The sequence below is a fragment of the Homo sapiens genome, chromosome 2 (genome assembly GCF_000001405.40).
Source record: "Homo sapiens chromosome 2, GRCh38.p14 Primary Assembly".
NCBI lineage: Eukaryota > Metazoa > Chordata > Mammalia > Primates > Hominidae > Homo > Homo sapiens.
Window position 1 is genome coordinate 8,799,918 of NC_000002.12, and position 23,152 is coordinate 8,823,069.

The 23,152-nt window shown below is 38.6% G+C and overlaps 1 protein-coding gene across 16 annotated transcripts in view, besides 1 other annotated feature; it reads right to left on the bottom strand.

Moving 5' to 3' along the window:
• Positions 1-23,152, bottom strand: part of KIDINS220 (kinase D interacting substrate 220) — a 116,533-nt gene that overhangs the window by 78,837 nt on the left and 14,544 nt on the right. For 9 of the 16 annotated variants that reach the window (NR_145965.2, NM_001348741.2, NM_001348738.2 and 6 more), the window contains 7 exons: positions 18,778-18,876; positions 17,701-17,799; positions 13,320-13,418; positions 12,478-12,576; positions 6,354-6,452; positions 3,013-3,210; positions 483-581 (listed from right to left, as the gene is read on the bottom strand). Coding sequence is in view for 14 of the 16 variants with exons in the window: in NM_001348741.2 (NP_001335670.1) it covers positions 483-581; positions 3,013-3,210; positions 6,354-6,452; positions 12,478-12,576; positions 13,320-13,418; positions 17,701-17,799; positions 18,778-18,876 (792 nt within the window). In the remaining 2 variants the exon portion in view is untranslated. Of the gene's footprint in view, positions 1-482; positions 582-3,012; positions 3,211-6,353; positions 6,453-12,477; positions 12,580-13,319; positions 13,419-17,700; positions 17,800-18,777; positions 18,877-23,152 lie in introns of all 16 variants that reach the window. The other 7 variants (NR_145964.2, NM_001348739.2, NM_001348740.2 and 4 more) reach the window with 1 other exon arrangement.
• Positions 3,940-3,989: an enhancer, noted in NCBI's record as "active region_15274". NCBI's record gives its function as "activates an Ori minimal core promoter by ATAC-STARR-seq in GM12878 lymphoblastoid cells {active_cell/tissue: GM12878}" and the evidence as "EXISTENCE:reporter gene assay evidence [ECO:0000049][PMID:35858748]".

Below are 23,152 nucleotides of genomic sequence, written 5' to 3' on the forward strand. Positions count from 1 at the left end.
CTTAAGCAATGTCCATAGGCACTACCAAGTGGTCCTAGGAAAGGCAGGCACAGTGGGGAAAAGGGAGAAGAAAATAAAACAACAACAGTAGAAGAACAGCAGATGGAGGAAGAAGACAAAACAGGGAGAAAACACTAAAAAAAATAAATAAGTACCAGATATTCAAAGTGTCACCGACTCTCTCAGTATCACTAACTACTCATTATAGTTCTGAGGATTGAATCTATATATACCCATTAGTAAGGACAGTATATTCTAAAAACATGAGCTTTTTTGGTTTACCTCTATCTACATTTAACTCGACATTAATATAGAAATTTTACAATAATGGCAGTGAAACTTAGTAATAATATACGTCTGTTAAATGTACTAGGGTTTACAAGTTTATCTCCATAGGAAAGTGGGAAGAATAACATTATGATCAGTCAACACTTACATGCAATTATACTCTAAGATAGCAACTGCACTGTAATCACACATACCTGTCCTCTAATGTCTATATCAGCATATTTTTGGAGAAGCGCTCGAACAATTTCAACATGACCACCTCTGACAGCGCCAATCAACACAGTATCCCCACTCTAAGAAGACAGAAAATAAAAACAAAAACAAGGTAAATTGACAACAAATAAGCACTCTTTTTAAGTTACAGTTAATCATGTTTTCATATTTTTTTCTAAAAATTTCTTGGAAAAAGTCTACCTCTAAATAAGAGAAAAATGTTACTTAACTAATATGAATATCTGATATTAACAGATATCAGAGTAAGGGACAGAGGACTTTATGCCCCAAAATGAGGACTCTGAAATTCCTAAACAAAGTTTAGAAAGACCAGTTACCCAGAACAATAATCTATTCTCTTTGAAGGTAACCGCCTATTACAAATGTAAATTAAATACAATGACGTTGTGGCTGTCAATGAACCAAATGAACATTTTAAAATCATATAGTAAAAATATCTTGGAATAATGCTATATGACGAAAGCCATGAATTCTAAAAAAACGGAGCTATAAAGCTAAAACTATCAGTGAATCTACAGCCACATTCAATTAAGGGAGAAAGTTCCCCGAGCAGCATCCATGAAAACCTAGTGGATTTGACAGTTACAGGCCAGTAGTACATTAAGACTGACTCATTCCCCAGCATAAGACTAAGTTCACAACCTCATGAGGACATTGCTCTCCCCTGAAACTATATTCACCAAGCAGCAATCATTTTTAGTTATATCTACCTATACTTAAAATACTGGAAACAGCTATTTTGGAAATGGGCATAAATATTTTATTATTTACTGCTAACTTAAAAATCAGTTGTAGTCTTTTGTGTTGAATGAGCCCATGGGCTGCAGCTCAATTCAATCCTGAGTGGACCTTAAAAGTACTATGAAATAAATCAGGATGCAGGTCCTTAAGGGTTATTAAGTTCAGCACCATGCTGTAGTGTGTTAACTACCACATTTATAGCAGAAATAAACCAAAGGCAGACAAATTTTAGTTGGGAACATTGGCATTAACATGGGTGCAGACTAGTAAACTTCTTAAATGTGCCATCCACCATTCTAGGTACTAGGAAACAAGACAGACGCGGTCCTACCTCTGGAAGAATTTACAGCCTGGCAGAGAAGACAACATACAATAAACAAAAAATCATACAAACACTATGCAAATAAAATAAGGTAATGTTCTAGAAAGTGACTACCAGGTAGGCAGGGCATGATGGCTTATGCCTGTAATCTCACCACTTTAAGAGGCCAAGGCAGGAGAAATCACTTGAGGCCAGGAGTTCGAGACCAGCCTGGTCAACATAGTGAGACCCTGTCTCTCAAAACAAAACAAGAATTAGCCAGGCGTGGTGGCATGCACCTGTAGTCCCAGCTACTTGGGAGGCTAAGGCAAGGAGGATCGCTTGAGTCTAGGAAGTTGAGGCCACAGTGAGCTGTGATCACACCACTGCACTCCAGCCTGGGTAACAGAATAACACCCTGTCTCAAAAAAAGTGATCACGTAACTACTTCGGATTAAGTAGTTGAAGACCTTCCCGAGGAGGAAACCTTGAAGCTGAGGTGAGAATGACAAGAAGGAGCCAAGATCAGCATTCCAGACTAAGAGCACAGCTGCTGCAAAGGCCCCACAGCAGGAACAAGCTCAGTGCATTCAAGAAAGGGAAAGAAGCAAACATGGCTGCAGGCTATGAAAACTGGCAGAAGAGGGGTACAAAGTGGGGAGAGAGGTTGGGCAAAGACAATGTCATGTCATGTCTATAACTAAAAAGATAACATTCATCCTCAGTGCAACAGGAAGTCTTGGATGACTTTAAACAAAGAAGTACACACGAGATTTATTGTTTTAAAGATCACTCCAAGATCAGAGTGGAGAACCCAGTTGCAAAGCTACTGCTTTGACAGTAGCACCACCAGAGACAGTGGCTTCAGCTGGGAAGTGATAGTGGAATGAAGACAAGTGGACAGATAAAGGATTTGTTTTGGAGTAAAGTCAACAAAGCCTGCTGGAGGGCAGATGAGGAAAAGAGAGAAATCAAGGCTAATGCACAGGATTTGGGGCTTCAACAAGAGGCTGAATGATGGTACCACTTGCTGAGATGGAGAATGAGGGAAAGCAGGTTTGGGGTGAAAAAAGCAAGGCATCTGTTTTATTGTAAGTTTAAGAGGCCAATTAGACATTCAAGTGGAGCGTTCAGGTAGAGGTGGATCAGTAAGTGTGAGCTCAAAGAAGTTAGGGCACAAGAAAGCACACCTACAGTGACACATCAAGGTCAGTCACAGACTAATAGCACATGTGACATTTTCAATAACAACATTATTTGACAAAAATTAAAAAGGACATTTTTCAGAACTATTGAACAGTTTTTAACTTACTAGTTTCAAAGGCAGAAATAAACTTATTTTAAAACAAGTTTATGTCATGCATGAGAATCTTGAAAGGTAATAAGACACTAAGGTCACCTTTCATCCACTTCACCACTAGGAGACAAATGTGAAATAGATGACCTACCCTGTCAGGTATGTTCACATATGTTCCAGCGTCGAGCAGATCCTGCACAATCTCCGTATGTCCCTCCTTTGATGCAATCATCAAAGCTGTATTTCCATCTTTATCTGTTAAGTTTACATTTGGATTCCTCTTCAAAATTTCTTTTACTGACTGTGTGTAACCTCCTTTCACTGCCACAATAAGTGCAGTCATTGAATTCTAAAAACAACAACAACAAAAACAAAACAAAACGCAAGCCCAAGAAATTAATGTATTCTAGAAAATATATGATTTATGCCATAATCATAAAACTAATGTTTTCAAATAGGTGGCCTATTATTGTCATTTCCAATAGTAAAATGCCAAAATAAATAGCAAGAAACATACCAAAAATGGCTAGGAGGTATCTTTTGTTTTTGAAAATACATTAATGATCTTCAGTCATTAGAGCTATTATGAAGTTCAGTTATTTAAATGATAATCTGAAATTGGACTCATTTACAATAAACTAACTCAGTAATGAAGGATAAAATAGTTGGCAGGGTGACTATTTTAACACCTATATAGAATGTGTTTATATATAAACACATTCTAAATTAAATAATCCAAAGTCAGGTGAATCAGACTTCAAGAATTCTTTATAATAAAACCCATAAAAAACACTAAAGTAAACAATGAATTAATAGCCATGAGCTATTTCAAGAAAAGTGTAATATACTGTTTGGCTTTCATAGTAACCTAGAAACTACATTTTCAAAACCTGTCTTATTTTAAGTAATTCTTTTAAAAATTGCACATCTATTTTATAACAATAAATCAGGCCAGGTACGATGACCCACACCTATAATCCCAAAGCTTAAGGAGGCCAAGGCAGGAGGATCATTTGAGGCCAGGAGTTCAAGACCAGCCTAGGCAACATATGAGACTCTGTCTCTAAATAAACAAACAATAAATCAACTAAGAGAAGAATGTGACTCACTACCAGAAGTAGTATTAAAACTGCTTCTTGAGATGTTCATCTACTTCAAGCTGTCATACAATTTCCCTATAGAAATATTTTGGGTCAGCCCCCAAAATTGAGCTGTCATTCTCCCACATATTAAAATAACACAGCCTTTTCAAATTCTTGAGCCATCAATCATCACAGAAACAAGCCACTTGTTCACTTGACCAACTGTCCAGAGGAGGCAGGTGGAAGGTATGTCATCTGCAGCTGCCTACGGACTATGCTGCCTCCACCAGCACAAAAACAGGGCCTACGCCTTGAAGGTTTGCAATGAGTCAGCTCCTGCCAGTATGCAAACAGGAGGAACTGGTTGATAGTGTGCCAAAAAGTATGACATAAAGAGTTTACTCTTGTTTCACTATGACCCAAGATCTGGTACTGTCTCTTCTCAGAATCCTTTATGATCCACTCATGTAACATACTAATTCTATAAATAGCAGTCTGTATTATTTTAACTGTTTCTTATGCATAAATATTGTTTCTTTTAACCATATTCTTATAGGCTCAAGGGAAAAGTGATATCAGGCTTCTTCACCTCTCCAACACAACTGGCACAGGCTGGGGAATGAGGAATTAAAAATTGCTAATCAGTAAGATGTATCTAACCAGTTTTTAAGCTTTCTGGCTTCTGACAGCTGATTTCTGATTTTTAAAAATCTGTTCATTGAAGAGGGAAAATAAGGCACAGCTAAAAATATCCCAAAAATTACAATATTACTTTAAATTTTATAAGAAAAATATTTTAATGCAGCACAATGTTTTCCCCAATATTAAAAACCATTTGATTTGAACAGTTTATTAAACAATTTGTACTACGTATAGGAAAAAACAAACTCCATTTCACATAAATTCTTACAACACTAAATACTTCTATGACCAGATGTGTGGGGTTTTTCCACATCCATCAAGCAATCAATTCTGCAGCAGACACCAGCTGGGTATTCTCCAACTCAATTCTGACACTACCTACCTGGAGGTAGCATCAGACCCCACAGGCAAGTGTTCGGTGCCCAAGACTGCCCCCGCTTCCCATGCCAATGAAAGCTCAGGTTGTCTGACTGGCTGTAAATTGGAGCTCCCACAACCCCCTCCTTGGCTTTGATTGATTTGCTAGAGCAGTTCACACAGTTCAGGGAAGTACTATTTACCAGTTTCCATAAGGGATATTTTAAAGGATAGAAATGAGCAGGCAGATGAAGATACACATAGGATGAGGTCTGAAAGGGTCCTGAGCACAGGAGCTTCTGTCCCCATGGAGCTGCGCTATGCCACCCTCCCAGTACGGGGATGTGTTCTTGGCCATCTTCCTGGAAGCCCCCTGAACTCAGTCCTTTTGGGTTTTTATGTGGGCTTCATTATGAAGGCATGATTTATTAAATCATTGGTCAATGATGATCAATGCAATCTTTAGCTCCTCTCCCCTCCCCAGAGGTGGTGGGTTAGGGCTGTGAGTTCCAACCCTCTGAGCACATGGTTGGTGTCCCTGGCAACCAGCACCTCAACCAGTGGGGTTATCTAGAAACTTTCCAAAAATAACCTCATTAACATAAGCTCAAGTGTGGTTAAAAGGGGCTTATGATAAGTAACAAAAGACTATATTTCATCTTTATCACTCTGGAACTGATCCAGAGCTGTTTCAAGAACCCAGGACAAAAGGCCAAATATAACCAAAGATACTCTTATTGCTGTAGTCACTTATGAAATTACACAGGTTATAGGAGCAGTCAGCCAGGAACCACGGACAAAAACCAAAATATGCACAGCACATTTTGATTAATGACAGATGGCATATATGACATAAGTTCCATAAGATTATGATACTGGACTTTCATTGTACTTTTTCTGTGTTTAGGTATGTTTAGATAAAGAAATACCATTGTCTCCCAACTGCCTGCAGTATTCAGTACGGTAACACACTGCACAGGCCTAGAAGCAACAGGCCATACCATAGAGCCTAGGAACGGAGTAGGCTATACCAGCCAGATGTGTGTAAGTGCACTCTATGATGTTCCCACAATGGCAAAATCACCGATGACACATTTCTTAGAACGTATCCCTGTCATTAAGCGACACATAACTCTCTATATATCACACTAGGATCACTGAAAGCTATTCTTTATACTTTTAGCCTCCCCAGTTGTGTGTGCATTAGCAACAGATCCTTAAAAGCATCTATTTATAGTATATATGTTTATAATATAACATTCTTAGAGTAACAGGAAATGCTTGTTTTCCTGTTACTATCATTTTAGAACTAGAGGGAAATTTCTCTAGGCATACACTAAAGAAATAAATTCTCTCTCTTAAAATAAAAAACATGTTTCTATTGCCAAGCATTAAAATATAAGATACTTACAGCTCCTTCTTGATCCACATCAGCTCCCATGGCCAATAAATGTTTCACACATTCCAAATGACCCTTTCGTGCAGCCCAAACTAAAGGGGTGGTTCCATACTATTAAAACAAACAATAAATTTAAAATTATTATAAAAAGTATACTCAAAGAAACTAGCTCTTAACATGAATTTTAATAAAAATCTTACTTTTTATCATTCTCATAAAACTGTATACATTTATCGTAATTGTAATCTTAGATAAATCCTATTTCTCCCATTTTATTTCTCCTGAGTAGATTAACCAGTCCATGAAATGTCTTTTAACCAACCTTATTTAACCTTTTCTTGAGACAGAGTCTCACTCTGTCACCCAGGCTGGAATGCAGTAGTGCAATCTTGGCTCACTGCAATCTCTGCCTCCCGGCTCAAGCAATTCTCCTGCCTCAGCCTCCTGAGTAGCTGGAATTACAGGTATGCACCACCACAAATGGCTCATTTTTTCGTATTTTCAGTAGAGACGGGTTTTGCCATGTTGGCCAGGCTGGTCTTGAACTCCTGACCTCAAGTGATCTGCCTACCTCAGCCTCCCCAAGTGCTGGGATTACAGACATGAACCACTGTGCCAGGCTCTTATTTAACTATTATAATGAGTGACAATGTTTCCATCATAAGGTAACATAGCCCCAAATTTTCAACAAGCTTTCATCGCTTCCCATATCTTATGAAACAGAATTTAAAGTCCAGCAGTCTGACTGTAGGCAGGAATAGTAACAACCAAGTGCCAAACAAACTAAAGTGGCCTAACCACTTTACATGGGTCTACGTGTGTGATCCTTATCGTAAGAACAATTCACAGTATCACATTTTCACAGATGAGGACACTGAGGCCCTAAGAGGTTAATTCATAGGCAAAGGTCACAAAGCTATCAAGAGGTGGGACAAGACCCATGAGCCCTTGAAACTGCACTCAAAAGCACCTTTCCCTGAAACATGATTCAAAAGGCATCCAGGAATATAAATCATGCATTAGCCACATTGCCTGCCTCTGGGGAGGCTAGCGATCAGCAGACACATGAATGTCCACAGTGACCTTTCAGTACATGGAGCCCACAGATAATTTAATTTAATCTACTCTCTGTGACAGCCCTGTCCAGTAGAACTTTCTGTGTTGATGGAAATACTCTATAATTCTGTGCTGTGAGATACAGTAGTCACTAGTCAAATAATGACGATTAAGCACTTGAATGCTATGTGGCTACTGTGACTGATGAACTGAGTTCTTTTCTTTTTCATTTCATTTTAATTAATGTAAGTCTAAGTAGTCCTGTGCTAGTGGCTACTGTACTGAGCAGAGTCGCTCTATAAATCATGTCAGGCACCACAGCAACCAACCACACTGTTGAGGGCTGGAGCCCTGGACAGGCTTCCCAGATGGATGAAGACTCCATGACAGACAGAATCACAAGGTTGCCAATACAGCACATGGGAGCCAGCACCTCACAAAACGAGGAAGAGAATGGAGGGAAAGCAGCTGCCACAGCCACCGCCTCAAAGCAGGCTTAGGAAGAACGAATAAGAAATACAGGATGAGCAGGCACTGTGGCTCACGCCTGTAATCCCAGCACTTTGGGAGGCTAAGCCAGGTGGATCACCTGAGGTCAGGAGTTTAAGACCAGCCTGGCCAACATGGTGAAATCCTATCTCTACTAAAAATACAAAAAAATTAGCCAGGCGTGGTGGTATATGCCTGTAGTCCCAGCTACCGGGGAGGCTGATGCAGGACGATCACTTAAACCTAAGAGGTGGAGGTCGCAATGAGCCGTGTTCATGCCACCACACTCCAGCCTGGGTAACAGAGCAAGACTCTGTCTCAAAAAGAAAAAAAAAAAGAAATACAGGAGGAGATTCCCAACTTCATTCCTGCATCTGTGGTTTTCTCCACTAAAAAGAACTAAATTCTCTTTTCTAGCCTCCTCTTTTGCGGATAATACTTACTCTGGCTAAAATGCCTTTCCTAACTTTACAATATCAATATCTTAGATATCTTCAAACATAATACACATAGAAAATCACCCTTCATAAAGCCTTTTAAAAATATACTTATTGTAACTGAGTTCTCATCCTTTGAATATCTATTGTATTGGATTTCTGCCCTTCTGATGCAACTGAACTATCCACGATTATATGCTATGATTTCTGCTCCTTCCCCTGCCTCAGCACATGAGCCGGCTAGTCCTTACCCACTCCCATTAGGGAGACAGTCCCACTTTCAACATTACAAAGAATTCCTGACATCCAGCAAGACCTTCCCTCACCTTGCATGCTGTCTGCTTCAAAACAGCTCTGCAGCCACAGTCTGAACTACCTCAATAAGTCTCTCATCTCTCAAATTCTGGTCTCTATCCCTTCTCAATCTAATCCCTTTATGTGTATTCCTGACCCTATGGTCCTCTTTCACCCAGGCCCTTACTCAATAATCTCCTGCCACATCATCAGTCTTTTCTTCTTATTCCCTCTTCCTAATAGGTCTCTGAATGAGGTCCTTCTCATGTGGGTCTCTCCTGTTCTAACAAATTTTTCCAACAGGCTACCCTCTGAAGATAATCACTGTTCTTTCTTTTAAGCTTTTCAAGATAATTTATAACCCCTTACCAAACCCCCCTAAAAAACTAGTTTCTGCTATAAACATTACAAAACCACCATTTCAGAGGTCACCCAAATAGTTACCTAAACTCCAGATCTATGTATCTTTTTTTGGTTTGTTTGTTTGTTTGTTTTTTTCTTTGAGAGGGAGTCTCACTCTGCTGCCCAGACTGGAGTGCAGTGGCACAATCTCAGCTCACTGCAATCTCCACACCTCCTGGGCTCAAGTGATTCTCCCGCTTTAGCCTCCCAAGTAGCTGGGATTACAGGCACCCACCACCATGCCCAGCTAATTTTTGTATTTTTAGTAGAGATGGGGTTTTACCATGTTGGCCAGGGTGGTTTTGAACTCCTGACCTCAGGTGATCCACCTGCCTCGGCCTCCCAAAGTGCTGGGATTACAGGCATGAGCCACTGCACTCGGCCACCTATGTATCTTTTACTAAGTTCTTTCTTTTCTTCCTGAAAGCTCTGCAGTATCTTGAACTATATTGACTGTCCCTTCCAAATTGAATTTTTGATTCATTCACCACCTTTGATGCTACAATAGCCAAGTTCTCCTAGCTCTGGAGATTAATAATAATTATATAAATAATTATGTATTATAATTAAGAAAATAATAATTATTATTCCTAATAATCAGCCCTTTGCTCACCATATTCCGTTACTACTGATCTCAGCTGCCAAATCCGCATTCACATCATTTCAAGAATCACCTCTAGGCAAGCCCTGGATCACCGGCAACCCAAATCTCTATGTCCGCTATCTAGTAGGACACCTTCAACTACAGGTTTCTACCACTTCAAGGCCAACATGTCTAAAACAGACTTCCTTTCCCTTCTCTAAAAATCAGTTCCCATAGAAACCTCCCTATTTCTGTCAGAAATAAAAATACTCTCAATCTTCAATCAATCCCACCGTGTACTATTAAACGTTAATTTTTTCTAAAACACCCCTTTGCAACCACCTACTACACTACTTAAAACCCCCAGTGATTCTGAGTGTCTACAGGCCAGATGTCCAAGCTCCTCAGCCAAGTATCCAAGACTCACCCAAAGGTAGCTCCACCTGCAGCCCAGCTTCCTCCTCCCACCCATCTCCTCACCACTGAGGGTGCACTCAACACTAGCTCAACAGGCCACCTGAAGCCGTCCCCTGGTACCTTGTGCTCTCATTTTCCCTGTGCCCAGTTCGTCTCTGCTCCTCCTCTCTCACGGATGTAAACTCTACCCTTTCTTCAAGGTCTAGAGGAAGTCGCATTCTTTTATGAAATCTTGACTGACTGCTGCGCCATCAGTGAATTCTCCCACCTCCACACTCCTAAGTCACCTGACCCTGGGCCTTTGCATTTTACATGGCCCACTTATCTCCCTGCTTCTCTAAACAGAGATCATTTTTTCTTTGTTTTTGTATCTTCTGTGCTAAGTGCAGGTACAGGGCACTGCATAGTGGGTACTAAACATTTTCTCAAAATGCTAATGAGTGACAGATTAGGTAGCATTATTACCTGATTCTGGAGGGCCTTGAAAGCCAAGCTATATGGAAACATTTTATTATAGGCAAGAAGGATAAAATAAAGGCTTCTCTATGATAATTAAATTACATCACAGGCTGGGCGTGGTGGCTCACGCTTGTAATCCCAGCACTTTGGGAGGCCAAGGCGGGTGGATCACCTGAGCTCAGGAGTTCGAGACCAGCCTGGCCAACATGGTGAAACCCCATCTCTACTAAAAATACAAAAAGTAGACAGTCGTGGTGGCACGCACCTGTAATCCCAGCTACTCAGAAGGCTGACACAGGAGAATCGCTTGAACCCAGGAGGCAGAGGTTGCAGTAAGCCAAGATCATGCCACTGCACTCCAGCCTAGGTGACAGAGCGAGACTCTGTCAAAAAAAAACAAAAATTCCATCAACAGACAAAACTGTATCCATTTTAGACATACCTCAAACCTCAGTCAATCTGAATTAACCAACAGTACAAATGCAATATTCTTAAATGCCATATCATAATATAAATATTTACAACAGCCTCCCTACGCTCCTCATTAAGCTATTATTTTGTGTAATATTTTTAAAAGAGGTATAACATGCACAAAGTGCGAAAAATATACTAATTTTCACTGTACTACTTGATGATTTTTTACATATGTATACACTGGCATAACTACTGCCCAGATCAAGATATGAATGATTTCCAACAGCCCCAAAAGGTTAAACAATACTGTTGTACTTAAAGAAATTTATGCACAGAATCTATTTCAATGACGAAAAACAAATCTTTAAGTAATAGCTATTTTCCTATATTTAGCTACAATGCTATAAATGTGAAAAGACTATGACTATCCCCACAATGTGCCAAATTCTAAGACCGCTACTGGAAATAATGGAGGTACAAAATGGGAAAAAAAAAAAAAAAGAGCAGTCCTTATCTTCATGAAACTTACACTCTAGTGGTAAGAAGGATGTGGAAATCAATCATTACAAGGCAATAGGTTATGTGCCCTAATGGCAATGTGCAGAGTACCCAGGAAGGGGCACCTAGGGTAAGGAGACTTAACAAAGAAGGTAACACCTCAAATAAGCCTTGAAAAATAAACAGGAGTTCATCAGGCAGAGGAGGGAATAACATTCCTAGCAGAGGGAACAGAATAAACACAGAAACAACGTTCACAGAACATTAGACAATCGGTTGTATCTAAAACACAGCATATATGGAAAGAAATGGCAAGAAGTGAGCCTGCAAGACAGGCTGAAGCCAAACTGAGAAGCCTGGGTTTTATCCCGAAACAGTGAAAGCCAACGAAGCTTTCCAAAAGTAAGAAGAAAAAAAGATAATTAGGTAGGTATTTATGCAATGATTGAGGTAAGTGTTAAGGATTTAAAAAAAAAAAAGAATAGCACATCATTCTGGGGTGCTTTCTGGAGGTGATGGCAAATGGGCAGAGCCTCAGAGATGATGTGAAGCTGAGGAGGAAGAGGCGGGCACACTGTGAAGGGCCCTGGACCGTGGGTCATTCAGTGGCTGGCATGCAAGGAACCATGGCGGACAAGCAGTAAGAGAAGGGGAAAAAGGAAGGCAAGGCCCATCTTCACCCATCATACCAGAGATGGTCTTCAGGAATTTAAGCACAAGAGAAACATAACCAAACTTCAATTTCAGAAAGATCTCTCACACAACAATACAGAGAAAGCAGATAGGACTGAATGTAGGAAGGAGAGTTACAATAGAAAACTTCAAACAATGAAGACAGGGACTCTGTTATCCCGGTCAGTTTTCTTGGGAATGATGAATGTGACATAAGAAAACATCAGAAGGATACTTACTACATAATACACCCAGGGAATCCATCTATGAGATATATATCTATATAAAATACATTAATATACAAAAATATAAAATACATTAGAGAAGCCTCATGAAATCATATAAAAATGTTTATAACTTAGACACTGAGTGGACATAACATGGACTGGAACCTGAAAAGATGCTGCTGACCTACCTTATCAGAGCAGTTGACTTTAGCACCATTTTGCAGTAAAAGATGAACTATATCTGCATGGCCTCTCCCTGCTGCCCAAATGATTGGGTAAACACTGTACTGCTAGGATAGATTGGTTGGTAGGTAGGTAGATAAGTAGGAAGGAAGGAAAGAAAGAAAGGAAGGAGGGAGGGAGGGAAGGAGAAATAAAATCTTTTAGGTAGATATTTACAACACACATTTGCTAAGTAAAGTAAACATCAAAGGAAGTAACACAAAGTAATGTTTTTTTTAAATCAGATTACAAACCATTCTCCACTTTAAAAATAGACAAAATACTCATAATACATAATTGGCAACTAAGATATAATAAATCTTAAGTAAACATATATTATGAACACATTTATTTTTATAAATTCAACACATTAAAATGTGGTTATCTGGCCAACAGGCAATACTAGTAAGAAGAAAGCAAAATAAGAGGAATGTAAATATATATAACAGAATGTATAGAAAAACAGTATGATTATTTTGTAAATGTTTCTTTTCTTTAAGTTCAGATTAAGGATTCACACACAGAAAAGAGGAAGATGACTAAAGATCTCAAAATCTCCTTTTGCAATGTTATATAGTTATAATTAACATTTAAGCTCTAAGAGCTGCCTTTTTGCTGACAACAATTGAGAAATACTTAGCTTTAGAAAAAAATTATCATTACTGTGTTTTGAAATCATATTCTATGTTACGTTTAATAAGATAAAGAATATTTCTACCCACCACGAAGCCAAATATAATCAACCTTAAGTATTCCCTAAGAAAACTTACCACTTATAATACAAACAAATTTTTTTGTTAATGCTTACCAGACCAGTGACACTTGGATTGGCACCATGAGAAAGAAGCAACTCTACTACGTCAGTACGGCCTTTGTAACATGCCCACATAAGAGCTGTCCATCCTCCCTAAACAAAAAATGTAGGGGTAAGGGAATCAAACTTTAAATCATCTCTGAGTATAAAAAATGTCACTAATGAAATTTCTTTAGTAAATATCTTTATAAATCATTGTTTCATGATGGTAGTATTATATAGTTCTAAATTCCCAGGCTCCCCAAATACAATAGTACATGAAATAAGTCAAATCTCTTGCATCCACAAATGGTTAGTCCAAAGTTTATAATATATTATGAAACCTGAATTAGAGAACATTCATTATGAACTCTTCCAAACTTCTAAGATTTATTTTGGCTGTCCAAAAATATTTCTTCAGGCTGGGTGCGGTGGCTCATGCCTGTAATCCCAGCACTGTGGGAGGCCAAGGCAGGCAGATCATGAGCTCAGGAGTTCGAGACCAGCCTGGCCAATATGGTGAAACCCCATCTCTACTAAAAGAATACAAAAATTAGCCAGGCATGGTGGCGTGTGCCTGTAGTCCCAACTATTCGGGAGGCTGAGGCAGGAGAACCACTTGAACCCGGGAGGCAGAGGTTGCAGTAAGCCAAGATCGCGCCACTGCACTCCAGCACAGGCGACAGTGCGAGACTCCATCTCAAATAAAAAAAAATTTAAAAAATAAAAATTTCTTCAGAAAACTTGCTATGTTCCTAGATATTCACTTCTTTCTATGAATTTAAACTTTATTCAGAGAGAGATTCTAACAATCATATTCAACTCCTGCATTTGAACACATCCTTTAAATCCCAGATCATTTTAGTACCTCTTGCTAAAAGAGAGAGGATGCTAAGGCATCTCATCTGTGACCAGAATTTCCAGAGGTAGGCAAAGTCATCAGGTATGAATCAACACCACACTTGATGATGTTCTACTTGCTAAGCTACAGGAGAAATTTTCTCCTTAACTACGATACGATTCAATAAAAAAGACCAATGTAATCAAATCTTACTAAGGAATTTTTTTTTTAAGTATGGAGCATCTTAAAAGGGCACAGAGCCAGCCTGAAAGAGCTTCTAATGGATAAAGTTGGAACAACTTGAGCAGTAATATTAGTACTGGGCTATAACCCAAGGAATAAATATTCATAAGTCCATACTGAAATAGAAAGATATAGATAGATATATAGATGAATGGATGAATGGATGGATGGATGGACAGACAGATGATAGACAGATAGAGTAGGGTGTGGGGAAGGGAAGTAGGCACTCTTCCTTACAGAAGAATTCTAACTAATTAATGTACAACATATGAGGGAAACAGAAAATCATCATTACACCACCACAGTTATGGTAGTAACTGCTGCAAGTAAGATTCACTGATGAATGCTAAATCAAATAGGTGAAAGTTTTAGTCAGAATAAAGATATTTTGTTTAGTGTCAAAGTATCTTCCCCCAAATATTTAGTAATTACAAAGTGAAAAATAGTGCTCTTACAGTGGCAGACACCACCCTAATCAAGAGATGAAGGCTGACATCACCAGTGATACAAACTGAAATCACGTTCCCCCTAGGGGGTACACCAAGAAAAGCACATCGCCTCTGGGACATCCTTCCCTCTAAAGCACATCTGCAACTGAACACGAGAAACATCCACAAATCCAAACTGAGGAACATTCTAAAATTACTGATGAGTACTCCTCTAAAGTGTCAAGGCCACAAAAGACACAATTTAGGTGAAATTACAGAGCTGGGCATTTGATCAAGTCAAGTCTTACATCTGTATTTTAACTTGTAAAATACTTGCCCAGAACTTTTTAACATCATGTCCTCACTTCAATTTGAATAATGTCCCAGCCAGGCATGGTGGCTCATGCCTGTAATGCCAGCACTTTGGGAGGCCGAGGCAGGCAGATCACTTGAGCTCAGGAGTTCAAGACCAGCCTGGGCAACATGGCAAAACCCTGCCTCTACAAAAAATACAAAAATTAGCCAGCCACGGTGGTGTGTGTCTGTAGTCCCAGCTACAGGGGGAGCTGAAATGGGAGGATCGCTTGAGCCCAGGGGATGGAGGTTGTACCGAGCTGAGATCGTGCCATTGCACTCCAGCCTGGGTGACAGAGACCCTGTCTCAAAAAAAAAAAAAGAAAAAGAAAAAAAAAGGGAGGCCTAGGCAGGAGGATCACTTGAGGTCAGGAGTTTAAGACCAGCCTGGCCAACATGGTGAAATCCTGTCTCTACTAAAAATACAAAAAGTTAGCCAGGTGCGGTGGCATGCACCTGTAATCCCAGCTCCTCGGGAGGCTGAGGCAGAAGAATTGCTTGAACCTGGGAGGCAGAGGTTGCAGTGAGCCAAGATTGTGCCACTGTGCTCCAGACTGGGCAACAGAGCGAGACTCCGTCTCAGGGGGAAAAAAAAATAAAGAATAATGTCCCTCTGGCCCCCTACATAAGAACCTATGAGATAAAATTTTAATCTCAAGAAAATGAAGCTAAATTGGCAAAAGACTGAGACCAATTAACTATAGTGTAGCTTTATATTTCATGAACTCTTTCTTCATTTTGGTGCCAGTAGAAGTCCTCACAGGAAGAGTCCTCACTAGACTTCTGATATGAAATCCTGGAATTCTTCCTGAGCCCCACAGGATCTCAGTGGTCACTCTCCTCTCCTTAAGCAAGTCCCAGGGACTCTGTCTTCCCTCAACTTGGGAAGTTGAGTAGTTACTTGGGTAGTTACTACCACCCACCCACCCAATCCTTTGAGGTTAAGGTCCCACAAAACTAGCTACTAAGAGAGACATGGTCCTCAGTTTCCCCAACTTTCAGTGTTTTAAAGCCAAAATAAAGAACCTTTAATAAAGATCCTTTAAATGTTAAAGGTTTTCTGGTCATCACTTTGAAGAAATAGGAAGAGCCAAAAAAGTTTAAGAAATCAGTTTTTACAAATCTTAATACATTTTTACACATTCATAACGTATATTTTATTGTTCCTAATTCCCTTGCTGATCTATGTAAAACAATGATAGAGGAGAAAGCCTTTGGAGCAGGGAGACCTGGTTCAAAACCCAGCCTAAGTGCTTACTAGCTGTGTGACTTAGGATAAAGATTCACTTCTTCCAGTCTCAATTTCCTCAACTATACATTGAGAATAAAATCAACCTTAGTCCACAGGATTGTTCTGAGAAGTCAGTTAAATGACACAGCAGCTATAAAGCACCTAAAGAAGCCAGGCACGGAATAACTGGTATGGTACCTATTGGTATGGTACCTATTCCACCCCTGGCCTCTCTAGGTGCTTTATAGCCACTGTGTCATTAACCCATCTGATAATCTGGTAAGGTACCTTTAATAAAATATTGAGAACTCGATAACTCCCTGCATTTCCCTTCTACCTTTCGTACCAACAAGGCAAGAACCACATTTCACTCTCGGCTGTCATATCCGTCTTTGCCTCAGTTACTGACATCATTATCTTCTCTCCCTAAACTTTCACTGCAACGTACTTAAGTTCTTTTTGGAAATATGTAAGATACCAGTGGTTCCCTGTATCTTCCTATAAAAATAAAGATACCACCCATTGCACTTAGTTTTGAGAACAAATATAAGATTATACAGGTTGAACTACTGTGAAATTATAATGTGCTATTAAGGGCAAAATGGTGAAATGCTGTGGCTTCTTAAAAACTCAGACCGTCTGTACTTCAAAAACCATCATCAGCTAAGTAATAAATATTTTATATATCACAGCAGATCGTTTTCTTCCTTCCTTCTACTGTTAAAATCAACTTTTAAAAGGGCTGAACATTTTACAGAATTAGCCAGAAATGACCTCTCTCTTCACCTTATGCTTTAACCAGATGCCAAACTCAAGTAAGAGCTAAGTAATAATTAAGGATCACATCTTGTTAAACTTCTGTCATGCACAGATAGCATGTCTGAAAATAATCACATTTTTAAAAATAAATCTAAAAATATTATTCTGAAAAGTATAACTTCAAACACCTGATAATAGTTTTAAAACCATACGCTGTCCCTCCTAAAGTCCTACCTAAAGGAAACAACTGTCTCAGAAGTTCCAAAACATTGATATATTAAAGAGTAATGAGTTATTTGTAACAATATGTCAGAATTTTAAACTCCAAAATAAATGAAAAATGATGACTAAGAATATTCTAAGAGGTATATTACAACACCTGGGTTTTAAAACATTCTTGAGGGTCATTTCAATGCCCAATCCCAAATTCTAAAAACATTATTATAATATCATTTCACACATAAAAATAAAATATTTCACACATATCTATGATTATAAATAAGATTTCAGCTAATTAAGAACATATAAAAATGTCCATACCATATCACGGTGCTCCAAGTTAACCCCACATTTCAGTAGTTCCTCTACGATGTGCACATGCCCTTCTTTCGATGCAGATATAAGTGCTGTCCAATTATCCTTGAACATATATTTTAAAAGTTATCATTTTCAAACCAAAAATAACACGTCAAAGTAAGGAAAACTACATTTGAACTTACATACCAAATGATCATACCAAGTTGACATGGTGTGACCCATGCTAACTAAACTACTCTAAAGTCATACTGAAGCTCTCTTAAGATTCTATCTGTCCACTTGCATCACTAAGAATGGGGTAAACATGGCTTTACAACTGCTTGTTCAGTCTACTCACTGAACTTCTAATCATATACTGCGCTTTTTAAAAACGAGAAAAGATGATCATCAAAACCTCAAAGCTAATCCTCATGGCTAGCCACCATTACTGTAATATAAATTGGAATTAAAGAGACTGTAATCAGATTTAAAAGCACATTCACAGGTTAGCAGACTACAGAGATCTCATATGATGTGTTTAGAAACCATGTGATAAAGAACTATTCTCTTTTATTTTTTAATTCCTAACTGTAATATAATTCAAATGATCATTCAATTAAGAAACAAAATAGATGTAGCTGTGTGACCCTCAAAAGCAATTCCAAAAATACAGGGAGAATCAGAGGAAATGTAACCGTGTGGAATGTTGATTTACCCCTCACAAGTGATATCAGAAGGGACCATATATTCCTGGCCATTATCGCATGTAATGATATTATTTATAATAAGTTACCATTATGGGGAGTTACTTAACATGACTCGTATGTGGATATCTTCTAGGTAGATATTTAACTATATGTACACATGCTCTCTATTCAGCCAGTCTCATCCATATAAAAAAACCAAAGAGCTGAGATCCTTCATTGAAAGTAAAAATTTCTCTCCTGTATTACTCCTTTTAAAAAAAACTGATATAGCCCACTAGGCAAAGTTGAAATATATGTAAAAGTTTTAATTACTACTTTTGAATCACTTCTGAAAAACAAAAAAATAGCTAAGAAAAAAGTGAGTAAATGATGAGTAAATTATTTTAATATATACCAAATCTTCCAGATTGCAGTTAGCTCCATTCTTAATTAATTCCTTCACTATTTCCAGATTGCCTTGTTCGGCAGCTATCATCAGTGGAGTCTGGCCACACTAGAGAATATAAAAGACAAAGGGAACTTATCAAGTTACTGCACTTTTACTAAAACATCACAGTTAAATATACCACACATTTTCATGAATGTATGTTAAGCATTGTTTAGTTGTGTTTACTATATTTAATTTAGAAACAGCTTTGAACTTTAAGTTTCAGTTTACTAATAATTTAAAAGTCAAAGAAAAAATAAAACATAATTTTTCTTCCCACAGTATTAATAATCTGTTTTTGGCACTGCAAATTCATTTAAAGTAAGTAAATATGAATAACACTAGGATTTGGAATGCAATTACTGAAATATACATAAAATTTCAGAATACTTATGGTAGCCAAATTCTCTAACAATACAGGTAGAATATGATCTAAAATGTGTTTTTAATTATATATATGTTTTGTCTGAAATAGGACGAGAAGAAGAAAAGTAAAATAATAAATAAAAACAACCAGGTGCTATGTATAATACACATATGTAGTTTTTTAAAGCCTTCTCTTAGAAACTTAGTTCATTAAACTAAATAAAGCTCCTACTGCTGAAATCAGTGTCCCAGCCTTTGTGTTAAGAATGAGTCACAGGAGTACAGAGACGATGCTCCCTCAGCCCTGGAGATGAGGGCAGGGCTCAGGCAGCTGGGTGCCTAGACAAGTCACCCCTAACAGCAAGCCTCATCTACTGCAAGTGCAGTACAAAAGTTATCATTTTCTGTAAGTGCCATGACAGGAAACAGATCGGCAAATACCAGGTTAGGCCGAGCGCAGTGGCTCAAGCCTGTAATCCCAGCACTTTGGGAGGCCAAGGTGGACGGATCACATGAGGCCAGGAGTTCAAGACAAGCCTGACCAACATGGTGAAACCCTGTCTCTACTAAAAATACAAAAAATTAGCCAGACGTGGTAGCACACGCCTGTAATCCCAGCTACCTGGGAGGCTGAGACATGAGAATCGCTGGAACCTGGGAGGCAAAGGTTGCAGTGAGCTGAGATCGCATCACTGCACTCCAGCCTGGGTGACAGAGCAAGACTTGTCTCAAAAAAAAATTTAAATTAAAATTTTTCAAAAAAGGAAGTACCAGGTTAAAGAGTGATGATACTAAAGGTACTAAGACACACTAAGGCATATGAGAAAAATGTACACCAAAAATTAAGTTTAATTATGCAAACACTTAAACACCTACTTACTACATGTATATTAGTATGGAGGGAAAATCTATGATTCTTTTAAATGCCCACCTGACATTATTCCTCTGCTTCAAACCCTTCAATGTTTTCCCATAGTTCTTCTGGATAAGAACCGACATCCTTACCCAAGCTGACACAAACCCTGAGTGACGCGGAGCAGGGCATGCCTGGCCCTCGACCCAGTCTGTGCCACCCCCGGCCTCAACGTGTCCTCCTGCTCATTCCCACCTCCTTACTGATCCCCTATAATTTACTTTTCCTATACTAATCCTTGTTTGTAACCACATTTTCATTGTGTGATTAACAACTGATTATTGTCTGTCTCCCCTAAACGCCGGGAAACATGTCTGTTTTGCTTATGGGTTTAAAACTATATACCCAGTGTGAGGGACAGTGGCTGCCACACAGGTACCCAAATATTTGCTGAGTAAACGAGTGAGCAAAGTCTCAAAGAATTTAAAAATCTATTAGGCACAACATCCAAATAAGCAAATAGTTATAATGATTACCAAAATACAACAGATGCTATTATAAGAATAATACAAGTAAGGATTTAAACACGAACGCTGGTTTAAAGTTCAAGTATCGGTCACGTTAAATATAGACATTCCTATGTAAGGATGGATGCTAAATTATACGTGGTAGCCACATGTCATCCAACCAGGGTCATTAGGGAATGACGTATTACACATAAATAGATTTTCTCGGTGAAAAAATTTATCTTCTCAACATTCAAGCTGATTATAACTTTTATGATAATCATCACTCTGAAAAGCTATGCACGTACTGCTAGTTATTAAGCAGATGGCCTTAAAAGTTATGTTTAGAATTCTGAGTCGTCACTACCAACATCAATTACTATGCCACGCACGCCTCTGTCCGCTCTAGGTTCTTTGGTATACATTCTATAGAACTGTTCTCCCTTCTAATCTACTGGGATAAAAAGTCAGGTATCAAAGTCATTGGTAGAATATATAAATTAAAGCAACAAACTCTAAATCCACAGTCCTGAGAATACATCAATTTTACATCACAGTTTTCAAAATTATAATTCCAAAGACTCAGGGAAGTTTTCTGTTTACGCTCTGGGTCACAGTTACATTTCAGATGTTCACATAGGTAAGTGTTTCTAGATAATGAGAGAAAAACATAATATAAATGTTTTAATAATATAAATGTTATAAATATATAACATAATATAAATGTTATAAATACATATAACACAAGTAGGAAAGATGGTATAAATTTGATAGCCTAGAAACATGCCAAATGAAAGATTAGAATTGTCATTATTTTCTCTTGCAGAAACTATTAGCTGTCCACCCAGTATCTAGAAAGACAGGGCTTGTTGCGGGTGGCAATGAGCTCAGCTGAAAAAAAAAAACACCCAGTGTTCAGCCTCACTTGCAGCTGGAAATAATCCCACAACGGTGCCCTGGCTAGCTCTCCCAGGAAAGCGCTGTACTAATTCAGCTGGTCTGTGCCTTTTCCTTCTTCTTGCCCAATACTGAGACACAGTGCTGGAGCTTTTGCTACATGACTGATGTGACGCAATAGGCACACAGTGAGGACTGGCCAGAAAGAAAGGAGCCTGGGTTCTGAAGCCATCTATCAGCCTTGAAATGGCTCATCTAGCTTGTCATGTGAGAAAAACAAAACCTTAATTTATCTAAATCACTGTTTTGAGAGCTGTTCCATGCACTACAAAGCAATTCTTAACTGATGCACCTTTTGTAGCTACGCTATCCAAAAAGATAATGACTTTCAGGAAAGGCTGCCATAAAGTTTTATAGGATCCCCAAAAATAGAACGATTGTTATTTTAAAAGTTGGGCCTGAAAATAAAGCCTATCTTTGGATTCTCCTAGTTCTTGCTTAACCAGTCCAGTAACTACAGTTGTAGAGATAGAGTAACTTATGTCATGAAAACTTTCATTTTTCTACTTGAAAATGTATCAGTAAAGATCCTTTCCATACCTGACCCCACACATCCCAGCAAATTCCATGCCTATCTCCTTCTAGAAAACACAGGATTACATTCCACATAATCCCCGCTCTACTACTCATAGTGACTTCAAGCCAAAACACACCAAAAACAAAACAGAACACTACGCACCTACTGAAATACTGGACTTTATCTCAGCTTCCCAGAAGACTACAATGCAAAAACAACTACTATTTAAGCATCTTTTTGCTCTTCCCAATTTCTAGGTTCCCATTTCTACTTATTTAAGTGTATGAGACCTAAATAACCACTGGTTTTTTTAAAGCAGTCCTTCTGGAGGGTTTCTACTTCTTCCAATAACCACAGTGAAACTAAAACATTTCGAAATCCTCCTTTGAAATTTCCTTTAAAGTCTATTTACAGGCCAGGCGCAGTGACTCTCATGCCTGTAATCCTAGCACTTTGGGAGGCTGAGGCAGGTGGATCACTTGTGCCCAGGAGTTGTAGAATAGCCTGGGCAACATTGTGAAACTTCATCTCTACAAAAAAAATTTTTTTTAATGAGCCAGGCGTGGTAGCACACGCCTGTAGTCCTAGCTACTCAGGTGGCTGAGATGGAAGGATTGCTTAAGCCCAGCAGGTCAAGGCTGCAGTGAGCTGGATCATGCCACTACACTCCAGCCTGGGCAACAGAGCAAGGCCCTGTCTCAAAAAAAATAAAATAAAATAAAGTTTACTCATAAACATACAGCAAAATCCATTGTTTAAAGTCTCAGTTCATTTTCTTAAACGGGAAAAAAATGACCAGCCTCAACACTATTCCCTTATACCAAGGACAGCTGACAGTGACTGTTTGTTCCTTTCAAAAATAAAATAAAAATAAAAACTCTTCACTACTCTATAAAGGACAAAGATTTGCCATCATTGAGAATATTCATAGGCCAAAGATTTATCTAGTTTATAAATAAAGCAATAAAAGGAAACTAGAATTCACTGTTTGTGGGCAATTATGTGCTAATAAGCACAGTATCAGGCAATTTTATCCCTTTTTAAATTTGTTTATTTTATATTTTTTAGAGATAGGGTCTCAGTCTGTTGCCCAGGCTGAAGTGTAGTGGTGCAGTCATAGCTCACTGCAGCCTTGAACTCCTG